At 37.6% G+C, this 24569-nt stretch overlaps 1 protein-coding gene and 1 pseudogene across 12 annotated transcripts in view, besides 1 other annotated feature; both read left to right on the top strand.

Annotated features, from left to right (window-relative positions):
• AKT3 (AKT serine/threonine kinase 3) overlaps positions 1–24569 on the top strand; it is a 362847-nt gene that overhangs the window by 225916 nt on the left and 112362 nt on the right. For 11 of the 12 annotated variants that reach the window (NM_181690.2, NM_001370074.1, XM_047420641.1 and 8 more), the window contains 2 exons: positions 10003–10068; positions 11425–11493. In NM_181690.2, coding sequence (NP_859029.1) covers positions 10003–10068; positions 11425–11493 — 135 coding nt within the window. Of the gene's footprint in view, positions 1–10002; positions 10069–11424; positions 11494–12129; positions 14688–24569 lie in introns of those variants that run through there. The other variant, XM_024447938.2, reaches the window with a different exon arrangement.
• FABP7P1 (fatty acid binding protein 7 pseudogene 1) lies at positions 46–782 on the top strand (annotated as a pseudogene).
• Positions 2863–3157: a silencer, noted in NCBI's record as "tiled region #1428; HepG2 Repressive non-DNase unmatched - State 23:Low". NCBI's record gives its function as "represses a minimal TATA promoter and a strong SV40 promoter by Sharpr-MPRA in HepG2 cells {active_cell/tissue: HepG2}" and the evidence as "EXISTENCE:reporter gene assay evidence [ECO:0000049][PMID:27701403]".

Genomic DNA, 24569 nt, shown 5'->3' with positions numbered 1-24569 from the left:
CGAGACTCCCTCTCAAAAAAAAAAAAAAAAAAAAAAAAACACAAACTGCAGTGGCAATAAGACCAGCAGCTCCTCACTTCTGTCTCTAAAGTGGGGAAAGGGCAAGGGTGGAGGAGGCTTTCTGTAATACCTGGAAGCTGACCGACAGAACTTTGATGAGTACATGAAGGCTCTAGGGATGGGCTTTGTCACTAGGCAGGTGGGAAATGTGGACAAACCAAGAGTGATTATCAGTCAAGAAGAAGACAAAAGGTGGTGATCAGGATTCAAAGTATGTTCAAGAACACAGAGGTTAGTTTCCATCTGGGAGAAGAGTTTGATGAAACCACTACAGATGACAGAAACTGCAAGTTTGTTGTTAGTCTGGACAGAGACAAACTCATTCACATACAGAAATGGGATGACAAAGAAACATATTTTATAAGAGAAATTAAGTATGGTGAAATGGTTATGACTTACTTTTGGTGATGATGTGGTTGCCGTTCACCACTATAAGAAGGCATAAAAATGTTCATGATTTGGAGCTGGAAGAGCTCTTTAGTTTTCCTCTTTACTCAAGTCTCAGTGCTATCCTGCTGTTACAGTATGGTTGATTAAATGGTTATTCTTGGTGTGGAGGTGGAAAATGGTGATTTAAGAGTTTGTTATTCCAAGCAGTTAGCCTAATTTTAACCTGGAAGTTTATCATGTTTTATAATTAAATTTTTGTCTTAAAAAAAGTGGATACATTTTATAATTTCCTTTGAAATGCAAATCAAATTGGAATAAAAATCTTACATGTGGGGAAAAAAGTACACGTTACCAGTGGATTGTGTATTTAGCTTGTTTCTCATCATTTTGCATTTCTTTATGTATCCAGTGATCTAAGTCCTTGAGATTTTGGTCTGTCATTTCTAAATTCCATTGACAACTTCTATATGTAGTAACAGCACAGTACAGCTGCCGTCTCATGCCATTGGTGACTGTATACCCATTTAGGCATCAGAGTTTGTCATTGTCTGCCCTGTCATTCTTCCTTTTTTGAAACAATGTTTTTGCCATGCTTTAATGAGTCCTACTTATGATGGCAACTGTGTCAGCTGTCCCTAAGACCACTCTCAGGCTCAGTGAGTCATGACTCACAAGACTCAGAAAAGACTCATGGTTATTGTTTATGATAGTGAAAAGTACAGATTAAAATCAGCAAAGGGAAAACCACATAGAGCAAAATCCTGGAGAAACCAAGTGCAAGCTTTAAGGTATCTTCTTCCAGTGGAGTCACATGGATGATGTGGTGAAATCAAGGATCTCCAGAGAGACAGACACAATCGGATACATATACATATATGAGAGAGAATTCACTGGGAAATTGGCTCATGTGATTATGGAGGTTGAAAATTCCCAAGACAGGCCATCTGGAAGCTGGAGACCTTGGGATGCTGGTAACGTATCTCCGTCCAAGTTCCCTGGGAAGCTGATGGTGTAATTCTTAGTCTGAGGCTAAGGGCCAGGAACCTGGGTTTTGGTGGGAAACTAGGGAGTTGCTGGTATAAAGCCTGGAGTCCAAATGTCAGAGAGCCTAGAGTTCTGATGTCCAAGGACAGGAGAAGAGGAGTGTCCCCATTCCAGGAGAGTGCCTTTTCTTTGCTTTTTTGGGTCCTATTTGGGCTCTTAGTTGATTGGATGGTGTCTGCTCACATTGTGGGTGAATATTTCTCACTCAGTCCATCAATTCACATTCCAGTCTCCTCTGGAAACACAGAAACAGCTATTAGTAATGCTTTACCAGTTCTCTAGGTATTCCTTAATCCAGTCAAGTTGACACATAAGTGCATCTGTGATGGTTAATTTTAATTCTCCCAGTAGTGAAGTGTTGTCAACTAAAGAAGCTTACCTGAGCCTTGGTGTCCAGGGTTTTTATTGGAAGTCAGTCACATAGGCAAGCAGTACCTTCATGACTGCCCTGAGATGCTCAGATTCCAACCTCTCAGAGCAAAATCAGGCACGAAGTATTAATCATGCATCCTGTTGTTTGCATAAACTATCTAGTCAAACTGGTACCATGTGGCCCAAGATCTCCAGCATACAAAAATACTCTGACCAGGCAGAATATTTCAGAGGCTCAGAATTCATTTCCCAGGAGTTGGCCAACGGCGCCAGTTCTGAAGACTGACTTTTTTGGGAATGTGTAGAGTTTGGGCAACCCAGGCCTGATGTGTTACCCTTTTTCTGCACGTAAGTCCATTAAAATAACCCAATGCGTTTGCTTGATTACTGGCATCTCTTTTTCCTTGGACTCTTAAGTTCTTACTGGTGGATCTTAACTGAAATCTCTTAACGTGATCAGCCAGTTACTTTGTTCTCTTCTTTCATATTCTTTTGAACCTCTGTATTAAACATTGCATCAACGATTGTGGTTTATTGTAGGAAGCAGATAATGGTTTGATCTGCTATACCTTCATCAACTGTCATTGTTCTATTGGGAGTATGATTTCAGTGATTTATGTTCTAGAGTTATTTCATGTAGTTCGTGTAGCTTCTATTCTTCAGCAGCATGCACCAAGGTTATTCGTTATTTACTAGTTCATTCACTCATTATTTCAATAAATATATGTCGAACACCTAATTATTTGCTAGGTACTGCTCTAGGCACTGGGACCATTTGAACGAATAAAACTGACAAACTCCTCTCCTTTGGGAAATTTTATTCAAGTCAGCAATTAGAGAATAAATAATACACATAATAAATAAACCATAGAGTATGTAATAAACTAATCCATACTTACAGAGAAAAGTGGAGTAGGGAAATAAGGAATAATGATGGTAGCGATTTTGGGGACTTAATGCAGTTTTAAATAGCATGACTATGGAAGGCCTCACTGAAAGGTGAAATTTCAGCAAGCATTTGAAGGAGATCAGGAAGCAAGTCCTTTAGATATTTTGAAGGAAGAATGTTCCAGCAAGGGGAAATAGCAATTGAGAAGGCCCTGAGGAGGGAGCTTACTTAGCACATTCTAACACATTCTTTGAATAGCTAGGAGTCTAGCATGGTGTGGAACAAGAATGGTGTAGGATGTTTGTAAGGATATTGGCTTTTACTGTGAATGAAGTGGGAAGCCTTTGGAAATTTTTATGCCGTGTAGTTACACAGTCTAGTTTTCAGTATCACTTTGGCTGCAGTGTTGACAATAGACTGTGGATTGGAAGCAGATAGTTTGCTAATTGCAGCAGTAATCTAGATAATTGATGATAGTGGCTTGTACTAGGGTAGTAGCAATGGAGGTAGTGATGATAATGAGACCTTGGGTGTATTTTGATGAAGAACCAACAGGATTGCTTGACAGATTGAATGTAGAGTATGAGTGGGAAAAAAAAGGAGTTGGAGATCATTGTTAAGATGTTTGGTCTAAGCAACTGAAAGCATGGTATTGCCATTCACTACATTGAAGTTGACTGCAGGAGAAACTTTTCAAGGGGAGATTTGGAATTAGGTTTTAGATATGTCAAATTTGCTATTTTTGTTAGATACTCCAGTTTATGTCACTGATTATACATCCATGCCAAATAGGCATTTTTTAAGTTTAGGAAAGAAGTCTAGATTTGAGGTATAAATTTGGAAGTCTGTCAGCATATATCCTGTATTAGAGCCATAGTCTGAATGAGTTTACCAAAGGAAGAGTGTACCCAGTGAAGAGAATTCTGAGGACTGAGTCCTGGAGATGCTTACAGAATAAGGGTTTCAGAGCAAAGGAAGCAGCAAATGAGACTGCGGAAAGACAACCACTGAAGAGGAGGAAGATGAAGAGATTAGGATGTCCTGGGACCCAAAAGAAGAACACGTTTTCAGGAGGAAGGAGTGATCAAATGTGTTAAATGTTACGTTTATGGCTTCTCTTCTGAGTAGGAAGTAAGATCGCATTTTGAAAGTGTGAACGAGTGAGGCTGAGATAAAGAGAGACAAATAAATGAAAAGCTCCTGTGCTTGGAAGTCAGCACAGACCTGGGTTCTAGTCTTAGCTTAGTAGCTTGACTAGGTAAGGGTTAGTGTGTACATTTAAGTATACCTACCAGGCAAGGAAGAAGGCCTGGGAAAGATTTGAAACAACCATCCTGAGAAATTGAAGAGTGACCTAAGTAGCGATGGATGAAAGAGGCCTCAGAAGATTCAGCTGAGTTTTTAGGGAGATTCCAATGGTGTTAGTCAATATGTTTGTGTAAATTTATCTTTAGATGTGAAATATAGAGTTAAGAGGGTAGAGATGAACTTGTCCCAATACCGCGTATGAGAGAGGCAGAAGAAAGACTGGAGTCCAAAGTGATTATATCATGATGGAAGTCAAAGGAGTTCATTTGGCCTTCATCTAAGGAATATTTGGAACTGGAGCATCAAGAACAAAGTATCAAACACAATACTCGAGAAAGGCGCAATAATGTTTGTAGTTAACAGAGAACAACGGTGCTTTCATCTCCATCAAGGTGAGAAATCTTCAAAAAAAGGAATAGAAATCAAGGAACAGAAGACAGTCTGACAGCTGGAGAATGGAAGAAGTATTAGAAGTCATTATCTGGGCCAGTGCTCAAGTTTTCAAGAAACAAAAGTTAGAACCCAAAATTTAGAGCTTGATAAGTGTGACATGTCTCCTCTGGCAGGAAAAAAAAAAGTATACATTGCTAACATATGGCTTGTTGAGACAGTGGAAAAGTAAATAATAATCACTGGTAATCATTGTTTAATTTGTAAAAGTGTGTCATATCACTACTCATCAGGGAAATGCAAATCAAAACCACAATGTGATATCATCTGTATTAGTTCATTCTCACACTGGTATAAAGAACTGCCCAAGATTGGGTAATTTATAAAGAAAAGAGGTTTAATTGACTCACAGTTCTGCATGGCTGGGGAGGCTTCAGGAAACTTACAGTCATGATGGAAGGGGGAAGAGGCATGTCTTGTGTGGTATCAGGCGAAGAAAGGGCGAGTGTGTGAAGAGGAACTGTCAGACACTTATAAAACCATCAGAGCTCCTAAGAATTCACTCACTATCACAAGAACAGCGTGGGGGACACTGCCCCCTGATCCCAGTCACCTCCCAGCAGGTCTCTCCCTCGACATGTAGGGATTATGGGGATTACAATTCAAGATGAGACTTGGGTGGATACCTAACCATATCATCATCTCACCCCAGTTACAATGACTTTTATCAAAAAAACAAAAAAATCACAGATGCTAAAGGGAACTCTCCTATGCTGTTGGTGGGAATGTAAATCAGTATAACCACTATAGAAAACCATATGAAAGTTCCTCAAAAACTAAAAATAGAACTACCATATATATATCCAAAACAAAGGAAATCATCATATCGGGGAGACATCTACACCCTTAGGTTTATTGCAGCACTATTCACAACAGCCAAAATATGTAATCAACCTAAGTGCCCATCAATGAATGAAAGGATAAATGCGATATATGTACAGAGTGGAATATTACTTAGCCATAAAAAGAATGAAATCACGTTATCTGCAGCAACATTGATGGAAATGGAACCCATTATGTTAAGTGAAATAAGCCAGGCACAGAAAGACAAATATTGCACATTTTTGTTCTTATGTGGGAGCTAAAAAACGGGATTGCATCAAGATAGACAGTAGATTGGTTGTTCCTAGAGGCTGGGAATGGTAGGGGGATGGGGAGATGGAGTTGATTAATAGGTACAGAAGTACAGTTGTAATAAGACCTAGTGTTAGATAGTTCAGTAGGGCGACTATAGTTAACAACCACCTACTGTGTATTTTAAAATAGCTGGAAGAGAAGAATTTGAATGTCTCCAGCATAAAGAAAAGTTAAAGGTTGGAGGTGATGAATATCCCCATTACCCTAATTTGGTCATTACACATATGGAATGTGTCAAAACAACACATGTACCCCGAAAATGTATACAACTATTATGTATCGAAAAAACATGTGCCAAAGTAACATTTCTCTACCCTCTTCCCGTTTCTCCCACCTGATTCGTGTCTTCCTCTAGGTCTCATTTATAGCTCTGGGTGGATGGAGGAAATGGTTTAGACGGAATGTGTCTTGATTTCAACTAGACTTGTGGTCAATTTGGAGAAAATAATGTGAGCAGAGTACCTAGTGAAGTAGATAGTAGGTTGTTTGAAGATGGGAGGCAGTTTTGTGAAGTAGAAATGACCTTTACTATTGAACTTAGATGTGGGATCAGTTGGTGCAGGGATTAAAGGAGATGACACTCATGGTGTTCTTGATCATTAAGGGTAGAAATTTTCTTTTTCTCCTCTTGTTTGCCCTCTCCTACACCTCATTCCCTCAAATAACCTAATTACCACAAAACATCGAGAGGGTCAAATGAAAGGAGAACTTTAGATCGTGTGTAATAGAGGGTGAATGATAAATTGGAGAGGATTGGGAAAATAAAATATTAAAAAGACTATTCTTCTGCCTGAAGAAATAAAATCCCATTCCCCCTAATTCTTCTATGAAAGAAATTAGATTTAAAAGTTCATTATTTACTATTTTACCATGGATAAATATATGTAAATTTGTATTTCAAAAGCTTTTCCATGAAAAAAATACATTGTATCCCCAAGCATTTCTAGAACTCTTCATAATTATGATCAACAGATGGATTTTTTAAAAGGCATCACATTGTTTTAGTCACTGTTTTACTACTGTTATTTTTAACTTTTTGTTTTGACATGTTGCTTTTAACTGTAATTAAAAATTATTAGCATCTGTGTTTACTTTTTAGCTTGCGCATACCTTATCTTCATAGCAGAAACTAATTAGTATGTGAAATACAGTACCATTAAATATGCATTAATGGGAAGAAATTCTAATCTGATCAGCTGTAAAATATGTTAGAAAATACATTTTGGTATGTACATGGTGTTCATTCCAGTTCCATTCTCATAACAAATACTGTTTTTGCTTTTGCCTCCATACGTCTTTACTTGGTTCCTTGGATGTGGTCAGATTACAAATTTAGGGGGTAGAAAAGTCTTCCCTCATGAAAGTTACTAAGTGATTTAGAAAAATAACTATTATGCGTGATAAGCCTGTTTTAACAAAATAGAATGTAATACCCCACTGAAAATATTCAAAGCACTAGAATATCTTTTCTATTTCTAAATAAATTTCATACATACTTTTCTCTAGTCTTTTCCTAATTTCTTGACCCAGATCACTTAACATCTTAAACCACAACAGGTAGATGTTATCTTCTGTGAATTTCTTTCTGAACTGCCTATTAAAATGTCTGTGATTCACTCTCATGTTGGAGGCATGTAACTTTTATATTAGCACTGTTAACTTTATATCTCAGAACTATCCCCTTTTTCTTTTTCCGCTGCCACCATAGTAGTCCAAGCCATCCTCACTTCTCTCTTGGGGTTATGTAATGCTTTCCTAATTGATCCTTCTTAGAAGAACGTGAGTAGACTTTCACAAACATGTCACCCCCACCCCATCACTTTCTCTATGTCCCACACCATCACAATACCCAACTTACACTCTACCAATAGCATTGGTTCTCCCTTACAGCCCCGTTGACAATAGTGGATAACCTCCACTTTTTCCTTAATATCACTTATCAGAAAGAGTAATTATTTAAGTTGGATAATTTACTTGTTTGTGTTTTCCACTAGCCTATGAACTCTGTGAGCAATGGGATCTTATTTTTTTTATTAAGTTACCTTATACCAGCACTGTTCTTACCAATTAGTGAGTGCACATCAGCAGTTTTTTTTTTAAGTGAATGGACTTGGTTCAGTATATCACAAAATAGCCACTTGTATAATGCTTAATTATGTATTTCATATTCCCTCTGTGATGCTCATTAACTGTAGTATCCCCTTCTCTGGTTTTTCCCATTAACACTGATCACCATGTAAGTAGAACTAAAGCTCCATGAGAGCAGAGAATTTTGTCTATTTGTTCAGTGTCCTGTCTCTGATGTGCAGACGAATACCCAGAAGATACTTGTTGCATATGTGTTGAAGAAGTCGGTGGGTGGGTGGGTGGGTGGATGGATGAATGAACTCTTGCACACTTGACATCTTGGAATTCTTTCCTATGATACACAATTCAGTTCAATAGACATTTATTAGGTATCTGCTGTATGCTTACCATTATGTTAGGCACAGTGTATATGGAAATCAGTAAGTTCTGGTGTCATTTCTGCTTCTGATTTATTTTGTTTTACAATGTTTGCTATTCTAATTAACTTAGGAACTATAGTACGATATGACATTGGCTTTCAAATTGAGCACTTAAAACTGACTCCTATAAAACAAATAAGACTGAGATGATTTCATGTTTATGCTTTCCTTCACTCGTTGTTAATTATACTTTCTGTTCAGACACAATTGATCTTACCTTCTTTGAATGGTTGTGGGATCTTAGCTTCTTTGATTAATCTAGTTATCATTATCTTTCGAGTTTAAGGTCAAATATTTTTATAAAGATAACAAATATAATGCAGTGTCCTGATGTTTTGCTTTTCATGTCTTTCTTCCATCTAATTTTGATTTTCTGACAGTGTTAAGAAATTGATTCAGCAAGGGCTTTATTTAAGATCTTGCCAGAAGTGAAGAACAGAGATGCTGTGTTCGTTTCAGCAGTTGTCTTCCTTTCGTTTCTTCTTTAAGATAGTGTTACTTTTGAAATATGAAACATTATCTCCAGTTCTCCATATGTTGAAGAAAACACTAGTTTGCTTTTGATATCAATATGAGATTTATGCCCAAAGTTGGGGAAAACATTCTTAGTTTATTTTTGGTTTGAAATATACTTACATTTTAAAATGATCACCTACAGTAGGAGGGTTGTGAGCTTTTTTTTTTTTTTTTTTTTTTTTTAAGAAAAGCACATTAAACCTGTAGTCTCTGGAGCTAAGCTATGAGGACAAAAAAGCAAAAGAAGGATACAGTGGACTTTGGGGAGTTGGGGGAAAGGATGGAAGCAGGGTGAGGCATAAAAGACTACACATTGGGTACAGCATATGCTTCTCAGGTGATGGGTGCACCAAAATCTCAGAAATCACCACTAAAGAACTTATTCATGTAACACCACCTGCTCCCCAAAAACCTATTGAAATAAAAAAAAATGTGTAACACCCACGCCCCCAACCAAAGGAAAAAAAACAACCTGTAGTCTCTGCTACTTGGGAGTCTGAAGCGGGAGGATTCCTTGATCCTCAGGAGTTTGAGCTCAGCCTGGGCAACATAGCAAGACCCTATCTCTAAAAAAATAAATAAGGAAGCATATAAGGCTGGGCATGGTGCCTCACATCTGTAATCCCAGCTACTCAGGAGGCTGAGGCAGGAGTAATGCTTGAGTCCAGGAGTTCAAGGTTACAGTGAGCTGTGATTGTACCACTGTACTCTATCCTGGGCAACAGAGCAAGAACTTGGCTTTAAAAATTAAGACGCAAATTAAAAAGCCACAAGCAGAAAGGTATATATTTTTATACTCTGTTCCTTTCTATTTCTAAAATGTGTAATTTAGAACTAAATATTGCATGTGTATTCTGTGTTCTAATAACTAATTTATTTAAAGTAGGAGACTTTTAAATTCTTTGATATTTATTGGGAAATATATCCTTTCATCCCCCTGAATAAAATGTATTACAAACATGGAGATATTAAATTACCTCATGCAGAAATATTAGTTGATAAATTGTTCCCTTCAAGGAGGAAAGCTCAATATTTAATTTTCTGTGTCCCTGATAATTTTCTGACTGATTTTTGTATCATTATTGATATACTTTGATTAAGTATGAGTGAATTTATATGAACTTATACAATCATCTGAATTAAATCATTAATTTGAGTTTTTTTGTATTTTGGTGGAGAGAATGCTGAGTGGTAAAGGAAGCATGCCACTGTGTTTTAAAATCCTTTTCAATCTCTGGGCTTAACCTCTTCCAATTTTAGAGAAATAGTGAAATTATTATTATCAGTGCTCAAAACATATATTGAAGGTTTGCTTTTTTTCTTTTGTAGGATGAAGTGGCACACACTCTAACTGAAAGCAGAGTATTAAAGAACACTAGACATCCCTTTTTAACAGTAAGTGACTAGAGGACAGATGTTATAATCGTAACATTTGAAATTTAAGGAATTTTATGTTAGAAATTAAATTGTGAAAAATACTATTCATTTAGATATCTCATTTTCTTTGTGGAAAGAACGTAAGTCAAATTTCTTATAACTTATTAGAATGTATGGATTTTTACAGTGTGTATGCATTGATAATTCCTCCCATTATGCATTTATTACTTTTTTGAGAATTTTTTTTCTCCCATGAATCTCTTGCCATTAAAAACAAAAACAAACCATAGAGTTAATACATTACCTCTGGCATTTTAAGGAGACTATTGAGGAAATGGCTGATTTTTAAAAATTTCTTAAATGTAAAGATTTTATGTTTGTTTTATTGGCTTCTGATAAATATCTTAATGATCAGAAGCATTTCTTCAAATATGGAAGGCAGAAATGTTTATCGAATATATTTTATAGAAATGAGACTTCTTTGAGGGATAGAGTACTTTAAGAAATATGGGAATGCTAAATACATTAGAGGTGGGATAAGCCATGCTACGTTTTTTTCACTAGACAAAGTATAAACTGATTATATGGTATGCCTACAACTTAGTTGTCTTGAAAGAAACTGGATTTTTTAGTTCTGTTCTTAGATTCCTTGTAATATAGGGATAATTGGTAAAGTTTCTGTATTTTCTTGGTTCCAATGAACTATATTGAGATGAAAAATAATAGCTAGACTTTCCAAAGTGGAACCCTTTACACTGTTTGGAATATCTGAAATAGACATTTTCAGAGCTGTCAGTAGATACCTAGACTTACTTTGCTACCTTTTTTGGTGTGTTTATTGTCTAGTGTAATAAGATAGCATTTGGGTATTTTTTAATAACCTATATATAACCTACAAAATTATATAAACCAACTCTGTTAGGTTGGGTTCTGTTGTGCACTCAATATGCAAAAAGTGATGTTGTCATTGTATTAGAAACCTGAGTGTAACAACCGTAGCTACATTCCTAAGGAACTTCAACTAGTGTAATTTGTTGGCCACGCTGTGAGGTTGCATGGATGAGAACCTTGAGTACTAATGCAGCTTCAAATCAATGGCAAATTAGATTGAGAAGTGCTTGTTGCAATTAAGTTTACTTTTACTTGAAATTTTAATTTTAGTTTTTCTTGTAATAATACCTATTGTGAACTAAACATTTGTTTTATGTTTCTCATAAACTCTTAAGCACTTTTAAGTAGTAAATAAACTCTTAAACAATAACAATTCTTTTCATCTTTCATGCTTACTATTTCTATGTGTTCTATTTTTAGTACTATTATAATTATAAGAATACAGGATTATAATGTAACATTTTTTCTTTTTTTTATTTCAAGTCCTTGAAATATTCCTTCCAGACAAAAGACCGTTTGTGTTTTGTGATGGAATATGTTAATGGGGGCGAGGTGAGTCAAGAAGTAAATCCAGTATTTGCATGGTAGTATTTTCATTATTTTAAAAACATTACTTAAAATACAAGTTACAATATAGCAGTTCTCCATTTCTTGATAGGAATTTATGTAGCTCTTAATACTATTGAACAAATGGGAGCGAAATTATTTCTGATGAGATGTAATGATTGTTTTTATATAACTACATTTATATGTTGGAAAGCATAATCATATTCTTCTTTTTCCTGTGTTTTTAAATGTAAAAAGTTTTAACAGAAGTATGATTTTTGAAATCATGTTATTAAATTTTGAAAACCAGAAATACAAGATTTATTGTTTCACAAAGTTTCTTTTCAAGTAGGCTGTGAACATGGTCAAAAGTTATTTTACCCATTCTAAACTCAGTGGAACAATAGTCCATGGGCACATTATGGCTGAGTTTTCTCTTCTTTATAGTAGAGTACTATGACTATATATATATATATGTGTGTGTGTGTATGTATATATGAGGGTGTATATATATGTGTATATGTGTATATATATGTATGTATATATGTATATGTATATATATGGGTGGGTATATATGTGTGTGTGTGTGTGTGTGTGTGTATATATATATATATATATAATTTTTTTTTTTTTTTTTTTGAGATGGAGTTTCGCTCTGTCGTCAGGCTGGAGTGCAGCAGCACAATCTAAGCTTACTACCACCTCTGCCTCCCGGGTTCAAGCGATTCTCCTGCCTCAGCCCCCCGAGTAGTTGAGACTACAGGCGCGCACCGCCACACCCAGCTAATTTTTGTATTTTTAGTAGAGATGGGGTTTCACCATGTTGGCCAGGATGGTCTCGATCTCCTGACCTTGTGATCCATCTGCCTCAGCCTCCCAAAGTGCTGGGATTACAGGCGTGAGCCACCACGCCGGGCCTACCATGACTATATTTAAGAGACTGACAATATTTTGGAGATAAATTTAATATTTTTATTAGCACATTTCACTCATTCCTTTATTCCTTCTCCTTTCTCTTCCTTGGTTTTGATCACAGTCAATGTGAGGGAAAAGTAAATTTACTGGAAAAGCTAACTGGAAATATTTTTATTGTGGGCTTTCTGAAATAAATTTAATTATTAAATAGGGTCTTGTTTGTGTCTCATGAACTTAAAATATTCTTATTTTCCAAAATAAATAATTAAATATCCTTTATGGAATTTTTTTCCTGTAGAATTATCTGATTTGCAGGAATTCGTTTGTTGCAAAACTTCATTCATTCAGGGCTTGCATGGTGGCTCAGACTTGTAATCCCAGCAGTTGGGGAGGCTGAGGCGGGTGGATCACTTGAGCTCAGGAGTTTGAGACCGGCCTGGGCAACATAGTGGAAGCTTGTCTCTACAAAAAATAAAAAAATTACCTGGACATGGTGGCACACACCCAGCTCCTGTACTCCCAGCTACTGAGGAGCTGAGGCGGGAGGATCACTTGAGCCTGGGAGGTCAAGGCTGCAGTGAGCCATGGTCATGCCACTGCACTTCAGCCTGGGTGACAGAGCATTACCTGGTCTCAAATAAAAAAAAAAAAATCAAAACCCAAAACTTAATTCATTAATTTGGTAAACACATTTTGAGTGCCTAGGCAGTATGGGTTTATGAAAATGTGTTAAGATATTATCCTTGCTGTGAAGGAGTATATAACTTCCCTTAGTGTATTACAAATTAGAATGCATAGTGAAAGACCTAACTTCTAATAAAGTCATAAAAGAAAATGCTTTATGGATGATCTAGCACTTAGAGTAGGCTTAATGAGATTTCACCCAGGGAATTGATGTAAGAAGTTGTTTCAGGCAGAGAGGATGGGATGGGCAGAATCACTGGTGGATGATAGGACAAGATAATTAAATAATAATAACCCAGGAATACAGAACTGGGCCCTTGCAGTAAGATGTCTGAGAAAATACGAAGAAAATGGATGTTGTGGAACTGTAGGATTGGTACATCTTTTTTTTTTTGAGATGGGGTCTGGCTCTGTCATTCAGGCTGGATTGTAGTGGTGCCATCTCTGCTCACTGCAACTTCCACCTCCTAAGCTTAAGCTATCCTCCCATCACAGCCTCCTGTGTAACTGGGACTACAGGCATGCATCACCATGCCTGGCTAATTTCTGTATTTTTTTGTAGAGATAGGGTTTTGCCATGTTGCCTAGGCTGGTCTTGAACTGTTGGCCTCAAGTGATGCACCCACGTCAGCCTTTCACAGGGCTGGGATTACAGACGTGAGCCATCACACCTGGCCATATTGTTACATCTTAATGACCAATTAATTAGATCTTGGTAGAAACAAAAAGGTACAATGAAAAGTGATTTTTGGTTGGAATTTGGGAGCCTTAGCAGATACAGTGCAATTATGAAGAACATGTTAACCTTATAAATTTGGTTTTGAAACAGTTTTTCGTAAGCTTTTAAAGTAATGTATGTGTGGAACTATGATGGAGAGTGGATAAAGAGTCAAAACTGTGGATGCAGTTTTGGCAGCCATTCCCATAAAGATTATAATTTAAGTTATGGGGGTGGAAATGAAATTGATGAAACCTCTTACATCAGTATCTATCAAAATTTAAAATGCGCTTATACTTGGACTCAGCAATTTCATTTCTAAGAATTTATCCTACAGACGTACAGATGCACCACAGAATGATATATAGATAAGTATACTCATTGCAGCATTGTAGCATTTTAAATGAGCATTCGTAAGGAGTCTGCTTAAATAAAGTTACATTCATGCAGTGGAATCTCTATATCCATCTGAAAGAATGAGACAGCCCAATATGGGCATTAATAGAAGTTAAAAAAACTAGGTGCAGACGAGTATAAAGCATACTTCTGTTGTGTTAAAATAAAATTAGACCGTAAACATGTGTATATATGTTTGTCTATTGATCGAGTATCTCTGAAATTATGCACTGGGTATTAGTGCTTGTCTTTGGGAAAATAAACTGAGTGGCCAGGGATAAGATAGGAGGAAGACTTTTCATTTATGTATTTTTCAGTATCTTTTGTGTTTTGTGCCACATACATGTATTATCTAATAGTTGAAAGTAGACAGACAAATAAATGGTTGGATGAATGGATGACCAAGGGAAACAGTAAGACAGATAAAACAGTCCGCAGACAAAAACTTGGAAAAACACTATTAAATGTCTCTCTTTTTTAAACGGTATTGTGTGTTCATGTCTATAGTAACAATTTTCACATTGTTTTACAATTACCTATTTACTTGTCTGTCTTTCCCATCAAAGTGTTAGCTTTCTAAGAGGCTTGTTCACGGTATAACCCTAGCATCTTATTCACTGCTTGTACATAGTTGGTGCTTCACAAATATTCATTGGATTATTTGAATGAATAAGTGAACAAATGGATGAACATTCCCTCAGGGATTAGGGATAAGAGAAGTTAGCTAAAAGGGGTAAAATAGGAACTACTGAGGAGTAGGAAGAAAAATAGAAATTGATGTAGTATACAGTTTATTTTGTTAAAAAAGCTGAAAGTGTAAATTTAGGAGAGGATATCTTTTTATTTCAAAAATACATATGTATTAAGTCTTTGTGGAAGGCACTCTGGTAGATATCTAGGGCATAGAAATCTGAATTAAACATAGATCTTGCCCTCAAAGAGTTTATAGTCTACTGGAGAAAGGGTACAAAAATAATACTAAGTGTGAAATAATTATCACTTCTATCATAACAGATAGATAGATGGTGGGACTTTGGTGGGATGAGGGAAAGCTTCCTAGAGGGCGCTACCTGGCATCTGCACTTCTTTTCTAAACCCGGAGTACTTAAAGATTAATTAATTGATGATTATTGAAAAAAATTTTACACTAAAAGCAGATTTTCAGATTAGCCAGATGATTTTCTTTAGCATTAATACTCCTACATTATTTTTCTTGTTCAGCATATCTTTGTTTTTCTTCAGAATTTCTGTTTTGGATTGGGCTATAGATAAGTATTATTTAATATTTTGAAGCAAGTGAACTGATTCTCTAGGGTCTCACTCCATCACCCTGTCTGGAGTACAGTGGTACAATCTCGGCTCACTGCAACTTCTGCCTCCTGGGCTCAAGCAGTCCTCATGCCTCAGTCTCCCGAGTAGCTAGGATTATAGGTGTGCACCACCACACTTGGCTAATTTTTGTATTTTTAGTAGAAACGGGGTTTGGCCATGTTGGCCAGGCTAGTCTTGAACTCCTGACCTCAAGTGATCTGCCCACCTCGGCCTCCCTGTATGTGGTGTATAATTTTAACATGCGTAGGTAATTACAGTGTTGGTACACACACACACACACACACACACACACACACAGAAAATGAAAAGTTATTTATATTTAATAACTTTAGTAGGAAATAGAATTTTATATATTTAACCTCACAATTTTTTTTTTTTTAGATTATCAGATGTATTTTAAAATAGTTATTTAGTTCTTGGAGTATAGTAGGATTATTTCAATTCTTGATTTATCATGACTGGGGAGGAAATCTATGCTTGATGTGTTTATCCTTGTGGCAACTTGTTTAATTTTGGTTTTGCTTTGGGTTCACCTTGCCATTTATGCTGCCCAGGGATGCCTTATAAAAATGCAGAAAACGACCAGGCGTCGTGGCTCACACCTGTAATCCCAGCACTTTGGGAGGCTGAGGCGGGCAGATCACGAGGTCAGGAGTTCGAGACCAGCCTGGCCAACGTGATGAAACCCCATCTCTACTAAAAATACAAAAAATTAGCCGGGCATGGTGGTGGATGCTTGTAATCCCAGCTCCTTGGGAGGCTAAGGCAGGAGAATTGCTTGAACCCAGGAGGCGGAGGGTGCAGTGAGCCAAGATCACGCCACTGAACTCCAGCCTGGGTGACAGAGCAAGACTCCGTCTCAAAAAAAAAAAAAAAAAAAAAAAAAAAGCAAAAAACTTAATTACTGTAGAAAAAGTATTAAACATAGTAGTTATATTTTTGAAATAGGTTTAAAGTAAGGGAAACAATAAACACACGTAAACAATTCACACTAGCACAATCCACACATATACCAAGACTCAGCCAGTGGGGTAGGATCTGTATGGCATCTAAGGACTTGAGCGTGAGAATACTGGCCTTTTGTAAGCAAGCTCTGGTAAGTTCATAATACCAAAATGGCAGCACACTCAAATCTTTTTATATCAAGTTTTTGCCCTAAGATGAGCTCCTTTAGTGGCCTCGCTGAAATAACTAGCCCAATTTTTACTCAATTTATGCTTATTGTTCACTGATTTTTAATTAACAATAGCATCTTCTTCTTAGTCTATGCTCTAGAAAGTTTACCTTGAATTATAATTTGAGTTAGGGGTTTAGCATGCTCTTGATTATGCTTGTGATTTTTATGTGTTTGTCAATATAAGTCACATGCCATGTAGCAATGTTGAAGTCAATGATGGATAGCACAATGGTAGTCCGATAAGACAAACATGCACAGGTTTGTAGCCTAGGAGCAATAAGCTATACCATATAGCCCAGGTGTGTAGTAGGCTATGTTGTCTAGGTTTGTGTAAGTCACTCTGTGATGTTCACACAATGATGAAATTGCCTGTATTAGTTCTCACACTGCTGAAAAGAACTGCCCCAGACGGGGTAATTTATAAAGGAAAGAGGTTTAATTGACTCACAGTTCCGCAGGGCTGGGGAGTCCTCAGGAAACTTACAATCATGGTGGAAGGGGAAGCAAACATGTCCTTCTTCACATGGTGACAGGAAGAAGTGCTGAGCAAAGGGGGAAAAGCTTCTTATAAAACCGTCTTGTGAGAACTCGCTGACAATCACAAGAATCACATAGTGGTAACCACCCCCATAATTAAATTACGCACCAGGGCCCTCCCATGACATGGGGATTTTGGGAGCTACAATTCAAGATGAGATTTGGGTGGGGACACAAACTATATCATTCTGCTCCTGGCCCCTCCCAAATCTCATATCCTCACATTTCAAAACACAATCATGCCTTTCCAACAGTCCCTTAAAGTCTTAATTCATTTCAGCAATATCCCAAAAGTCCAAGTTCAAAGTCTCATCTGAGACAAGGCAAGTCTCTTCTGACTATGAGCCTGTAAAGTCAAAAGCAAGTTAGTTACTTCCTAGATACAATGGGGGTACAGGCATTGGGTAAATACACCCATTCCAAATGGGAGAAATTGGCCAAAACAAAGGAGCTGTAGGCCCCATGCAAGTCTAAAGTCCAATAGTGCAGTCATTAAACCTTAAAGTTCCAAAATGATCTCCTTTAACTCCGTGTCTGACATCCAGATCATGCTGATGCAAGAGGTGGGCTCCTATGGCCTTGAGCAGCACCACCCCTGTGGCTTTGTAGGGTACATCCCTCCTCCCAGCTACTTTCATGGGCTGGTGTTGAGTGTCTGTGGCTTTTCCAGGTGCACTGTGCAAGCTGTCAGTAGATTACCGTTCTGGGGTCTGGAGGACAGTGACCCTCTTCTCACAGCTCCACTAGGCAGTGCCCCAGTGGGGACTCTGTGTGGGGGCTACAACACCACATTTCCCTTCTGCAGTGCCCTAGCAGAGGTTCTCCATGAGGACTCTGCCCCTGCAGCAGACTGGTCATCCAAGTGTTTCCACACATCCTCTGAAATCTAGGTGGAGGTTCCCAAACCTTAATTCTTGTCTTCTGCACACCAGCAGGACCAACACCACATGGAAGCTGCCAATGCTTGGGGCTTGCACCCTCTGAAGCAATGGCCTGAGCTGTACATTGGTCCCTTTTAGCCACAGCTGGGACTGAAGCAGTTGGGATGCAGGGCACCATGTCCCAAGGCTGCACAGAGCCGGGTTGGGGGGCCCTGCTTTTGGGCCCTGGCCCTGGCCCACAAAACTGTTTTTCCCTCCTAGGCCTCTGGGCCTATGATGGGAGGGGCTGCTGCAAAGGTCTCTGAAATGCCCTGAAGACATTTTCTCCTTTGTCTTGGTGATTAACATCTGGCTCCTTGTTACTTATGCCAACTTTTGCAGTGGGCTTGAATTTCTCCCCACAAAATGGGTTTTTCTTTTCTATTGTATTGTCAGGCTGCAAATTTTGCAAACTTTTCTTCTCCGCGTTCTCTTCAATGCTTTGCCACTTAGAAATTTCCTCCACCAGATACCCCCAAATCATCTCCTTCAAGTTCAAAGTTCCTTAGATCTCTAGGGCAGGGGCAAAATGCCACCATTCTCTTTGGTAAAGCATAGCAAGAGTCACCTTTACTCCACTTACCAGTAAGTTCCTCGTCTTCATCTGAGGCCACCTCAGCCTGGACTTTATTGTCCATATCACTGTCAGCATTTTGGTCAAAGCTATTCAACAAGTCTCTAGGAAGTTCCAAACTTTCTCACGTTTTTCTGTCTTCTTTTGAGCCCTCCATACTGTTCCAGCCTTGCCTGTTACCTGGTTGGAAAGCTGTTTTTACATTTTTGGGTATCTTTACAGCAGCACCACACTCTCTGTGGTACCAATGTACTGTATTAGTCCATTCTCTGTTCTCATGCTGCTGTGAACTGCCCGAGACTGGGTAATTTATAAAGGAAAGAGGTTTAATTGACTCAGTTCTGCAGGGCTGGGGAGACCTTAGGAAACCTACAATCGTGGTGAAAGGGGAAGCAAACATGTCCTTCTTCACATAGGAGCAGGAGAGAGAAGTGCTAAGCAAAGGAGGAAAAGCCCCTTATAAAACCATCAGATTTCATCAGAACTCACTCACTATCAGCAGAACAGCATGGAGATAACCAGCCCTGTGATTCAATTACCTTCCAGTGGATCCCTCCCACAACACATTGGGATTATGGGAACTACAGTTCAAGATGAGATTTGGGTGGGAACACAGCCAAACCATATCTGCCTACCAGCAAGTTTCTCAGGCCATATCCCAGTTGTTAAGTAATGCATGACTGTATTTGGAGCACTAAAAATTTTTGATGAAAGTGAATTGTGAAAGAAATGTTGGCTGTGAAAAATCAGCCCTAACTTCTTACGGTCGTATTGGTACAATGGAATTTCATCATAGTTGCATGTAATTTATATGAATTCAAAGAAGTGGGCTCAATAAGATATAGCTGAGATAGACAAGTTGATTTAAATGATGTGATTATTCTGCTCTTTTTCTCAATTTCTCAATGAGTGTATTTACAGAGTGACCTTAGGATGAGAGATATAAATTTGCTATTCTTTACTCCTTGTTACTTCCTACTTTCCATGCATAGAGCTTCATGGAATATAAACTCTGGTGTTTTAAAATACAAAACTTACATAAAATGTCATTGAGTGCATTGTAACTGCAGGTGTTCATTTAAAGAAACTATTTTCTGGCCAGGCCTGGTGGCTCATGCCTGTAATTCTGGTGCTTTGGGCAGCTGAGATAGGAGGATTGCTTGAGGCCAGGAGTTTGAGACCAGCCTGGCGAACATGGTGAGATCCCGTGTCAAAAAAAAAAAAAAGTTAGCCATGTATGGTGATGTGTACCTGTAGTCCTAGTAAATTAATCAGGAAAGCTGAGGTGGGAAGTTCACTTGAGCCGAGGAACTCAGGGTTATAGTGAGCCATGGTTGTGCTACTGCACTCCAGCGTGGGCAACAGAGTGAGACCCTGTCTCTAAAGAAAATAAAAGAAAAAAGACTATATTATTGTACCAAAGATAGAAAACTGTCCTGGGTTTAACTATGTCGAGAGATGACAGTATGTTGGTCTCCAGTGTAATACCGTTCTAAGGAATGTTTGGGAGTGATTTGATTATTTTTGATACCTTATGGATTAACTTTATAATCTAGTACATTATCATTCATCTATTAAATAATGAGCAACTTCTGTGGGCTAGACCTCAGAAGATTCATAAATAAGGAAAACATACTATTTTTCCTTTGATGAGTGACTTACTGGGGAGATAGATGAGAAAATACTTGTATACACTGCAGTGACATGGTTGCTCTGATAATACTGGTTACTGTGCATGGAGAGAATGAGCACTTTAATGAACCTGAGGAGCAGAGGAAAGGAAAGCAAAGGGTGCCAGAGTAGGAAACTCTTCTTAAAAAGTGGTTGCTAGGCTAAGACGTAAGAATAACTATACATTATATCACTAAGGTTGGGAAGGAGAGCATTCCTACACAGGTAAAATGGCATGTGTAGAGTACACAGGAGCAGACAGGTTCCCCCACCCACCGAATATAGCACAGTGTGGATAATGCATAGAGTTCTGCAGAGGAAAGCCAGAGAGTCTGCACAGGTAGTCAGAATCACATTAAGACAGATCTTCACTCTCAAGTCATTTAGATGAAGGCAGTGGAGCATCATGGAAGAATTTCTTTGGGGGAAATGTTTAGAAAGAATACTTGGCAGTATAGAGGTTGAAGTAGAGAGGACAAAAGTGGAAGCAAGGAAAATACTTGGGAGGTTGCTGCAGTTAGAAGGTTTTCAGTAATTCACTTATAAAAATGATAAGGTTGTCGGATGTGGTGGCTCATGCTTGGAATCTCAGCACTATGGGAGGCTGAGGTGGGTGGATCACCTGAGGCCAGGAGTTTGAGACCAGCCTGACCAACATGGAGAAACCCCGTCTGTACTAAAAATACAAAATTAGCCAGGCCTGGTGGCGCATGCCTGTAATCCCAGCTACTTGGGAGGCTGAGGCAGGAGAATTGCTTGAACCTGGGAGGTGGAGATTGCAGTGAGCCTAGATTGCACCATTGTGCTCCAGCCTGGGCAACAAGAGCAAAACTCCATCTCAAAAAAAAAAAAAAAAAAGATTATTAATTGAAGCAGTGTTAGAAGGAAGCAAATTCTAGTAATATTTAGTTATTAGAATCACCAGGATTTAATGAATAAATATGCAGAGAAGTATCATATGATTTCCTGTTTGCTGCTTGGGGAATTGTGGATACTGGAGTATTTATAAAAATAGAAAACACAGGGAGAAGAATGAGTTCTTAAGCAGATCATGCTATATTTGAGGCACCTAGTGTGGCAGCCAAGGAGTGGGGAGAGTTAAATCAGAGATACAAATAGGCATCATGAGCAGTGTTAAAACCCAGGAAGTGAGGAAATATCCAATGTGAGGAAAGTATGTACAGTTAGAACATCAGTGGCCAAGGATGGTGCCTGGAAATGCCAGAGTAAGGCATGCTGTAGACACAGCTGTAGATGCAGTGAGACTAGTGCACAGGTGTAGAGGCAGAGAGAAGCCTAAGGAGGATCCTGGGCAGGAGGAGCCAGACAAGAGAAGCCTTAGAAGTTAAGGAGAGATTAGGTACAACAGAGTATATTAAATACTGTACAATGATAACTGAGAATTGTCCATTGGATTTGCCATCTAATAGTTCCTATGGAGACTACCAGGGATTCTTCCTTTTCTGGTTTGGTACAAGGTATGCACCTTGGCTGTAGTACAGAATGTAAAAGGGTTGGTTTGGAGCCCAGTAGAACAAGGTTGTAAGAGTGAGTTCAGTGCAATTTCAGTGGGGCATTTGTAGAACTGATTGTAAAATCTCTCTAATAATATGACCAATCACACTGCTAATATATCCAGGCAGCTCTCTTTTTATTCCTTAAATGTTACTAAATTTACATGAGAAGCAGAAAAATATCCTGGGAGAATAAAGTAGACAAAATTGACTAAGGAGGTGTTTTTGTTTTCTTTGGTTTAGGAAGTCTCTACTTAGGACTTGTTTCCAAAATCTTACTCATAGCTTCATTTATTTCAGGCTTATTTGTTGGACCTCTGCAAATCTCTCTCAAGTCTGAAGTTTCCTGAAGTTAAAGATTCATTAGGGGAGTAAAGGAAAATCATTGTGTAGAAATGCTATTCATCTGATAAATTCTTCACATTCCTCTATTTTCTTTATGTAGGTTGTAATGAAGCTAACAGTTTCAGTTATGTACTACTATTTTTGTCCATACTTAGTTCATTGTAAACTCTATATTAATTTCTTTGATAACATGTATTTGATTTTTTTGCAATACGGCTTTCAGGTTCTTGCCATTCTTGAGATTCTCATGCTTATTCAGATTTCTCATTTGGCTGGCATTTTGTTATCAGTGAACCAAAATTATCTCATTTTAAATTCACATAAGACAAAAGCACCAGTAGTCAGTATTCTAGTTCTCCTTACTAATTTACGGAGGTGTGATCTGGGTGATTTTTAAATTAATTTAATTATCATTTCATATTCATAGTGATGATTTTTAAAATTTTACAAAGTTTTCAGGTATATAAACATCTTTATTGTCAGGTGTCTGACAAGCTAATTTCTTTGCTAACTATTTTAGTTATTAATATATTATGTAGGTTGTATCAGAATTTTGTTTTTCACCCAATGCTTTTTCAAAATTCCCAAGTCAAGAAGGATGCATTACAATGTTTACATTAGCATCTAAAGGCAATGTAAAGTCGGGAAGCATTTTTAGTATATAATTTCATAATTCAAAGACATTTTTAAAAAATGAATGGTTAAACCAGTATCTCACTGCATTAAATGTAATTGAATGCATTGAATTTAGTTATTAGGAGATGTTATTACAAGCCTCAACATGTAACATGCTTGCTTACAAATCTAAAATCTCAGATCAAGTGGCTGGAACTGCAGGGGCCTGCCAGGCATCTGGGTATTTACATGATTCCTTTCCATGTGGTTATGGCAGAGCATGGCCATTTCAAGGTAGTCAAACTTCTTACACAAAGGCTGGCTTACCACAGAGTGGGTATTTCAAGGGAGGGAAAACAGAAGAAGCAACATATGTATAATTGGAAACCCTGAGGAGGAAAAAGAGGGCAGTGACACAAAACAGTATTTAAATATCAAAAACTATAATCTGAAAACATACTTACAGGCTTTTGTGTTCTCCATTTTTCACTTAGCATAATACTTTTAAAATTTATAGATACTGTTCCATATATCAGTAGTTTGTTTCTTTTTATGGCTTTGCTCCGTTGTGTGATGTACAGTCATATGTTTATATAGTTGCCCCTGGATAGACGTTTGGGTTCTTTACATTTTGGGCCTATTAGAATAAAAGCTCGTGAATATTCCAGTACAAATCTGTGTGTGAATATATATTTTTAATCTTCTTGGGTAAATACATAGAAATGCAATTTCTGTGTCATTTGTTATGATCAACTTCATTAAAAACTGCAGACTCTTTTCAAAATCAGCCATACCATTTTGCATTCCCAGGATGTTACTTGACAACATCACCACACTTGGCATGGTAGTCTTTTTAAATTTTACTCATTCTGGTGGATGTATAGTGGTATTTTTTAGCTTCAATTTGAATTTCTCAAATAACTAATGATATTGAACTTCTTTTCTTATTCTGATTTGCCATTTATACATCATCTTTTTTGAAGTATCTTAAAATCTTTTGTCTGTTTTAAAAATTAGGTTGTTGTCTTAATATTGAGTTGTCAGATTTATTTATTTCATGTAAGGGCTTTATCATATATATATTTTATAAATATTTTCTCCCATTTTATAGTTTGTCTTTTCATTTCATAATGGGAAATTGTTCCAAAATACACTTTTGTTGTAATCTATTGTAATCAGCATTTTAATGCATAGTTAGCATTCAGTAAAATTAATCAATTTTGACTGTACAATTTAGTGAGTTTTGACAGCTGTATAAAGCAGTTTCCCATCACCACAATCATGATCTAGAATGTTTCTTTCACAACAGAGCCTCGCATGTCTCTTTAAAGTCAATTCTCTCCCCTCACTCTCACCCTGAAAACCACTGATAGGCTTTCCAACCAGTATGAAGGGCAGACTTCTAAATTAGAGGAAACACAATTCATTGATTATTTTCTCTTATGATTTGTACATTTTGTTTTTAAAACATCTTTTTCTAACTGAAGTTTGTTAAGATTTTTTTCTAAAGTCAAAGCTAGACCTGTTGGGTGGTGGCAGGTCGGGGAGATTTTCTTTTATGCTTTCTTCTAGAAGTGTTAATAGTTTTAGCTCTTGCATTTAGGTCTATGAGCCATTTCAAGTTAATTTTAATGTATACTGCTACATAAGGGTCATGTTTCATTTGTTTCTTGCAAAGTGATAT

The sequence above is a fragment of the Homo sapiens genome, chromosome 1 (genome assembly GCF_000001405.40).
Source record: "Homo sapiens chromosome 1, GRCh38.p14 Primary Assembly".
Lineage (NCBI taxonomy): Eukaryota > Metazoa > Chordata > Mammalia > Primates > Hominidae > Homo > Homo sapiens.
This window is presented reverse-complemented; position numbering and strand designations above follow the sequence as displayed.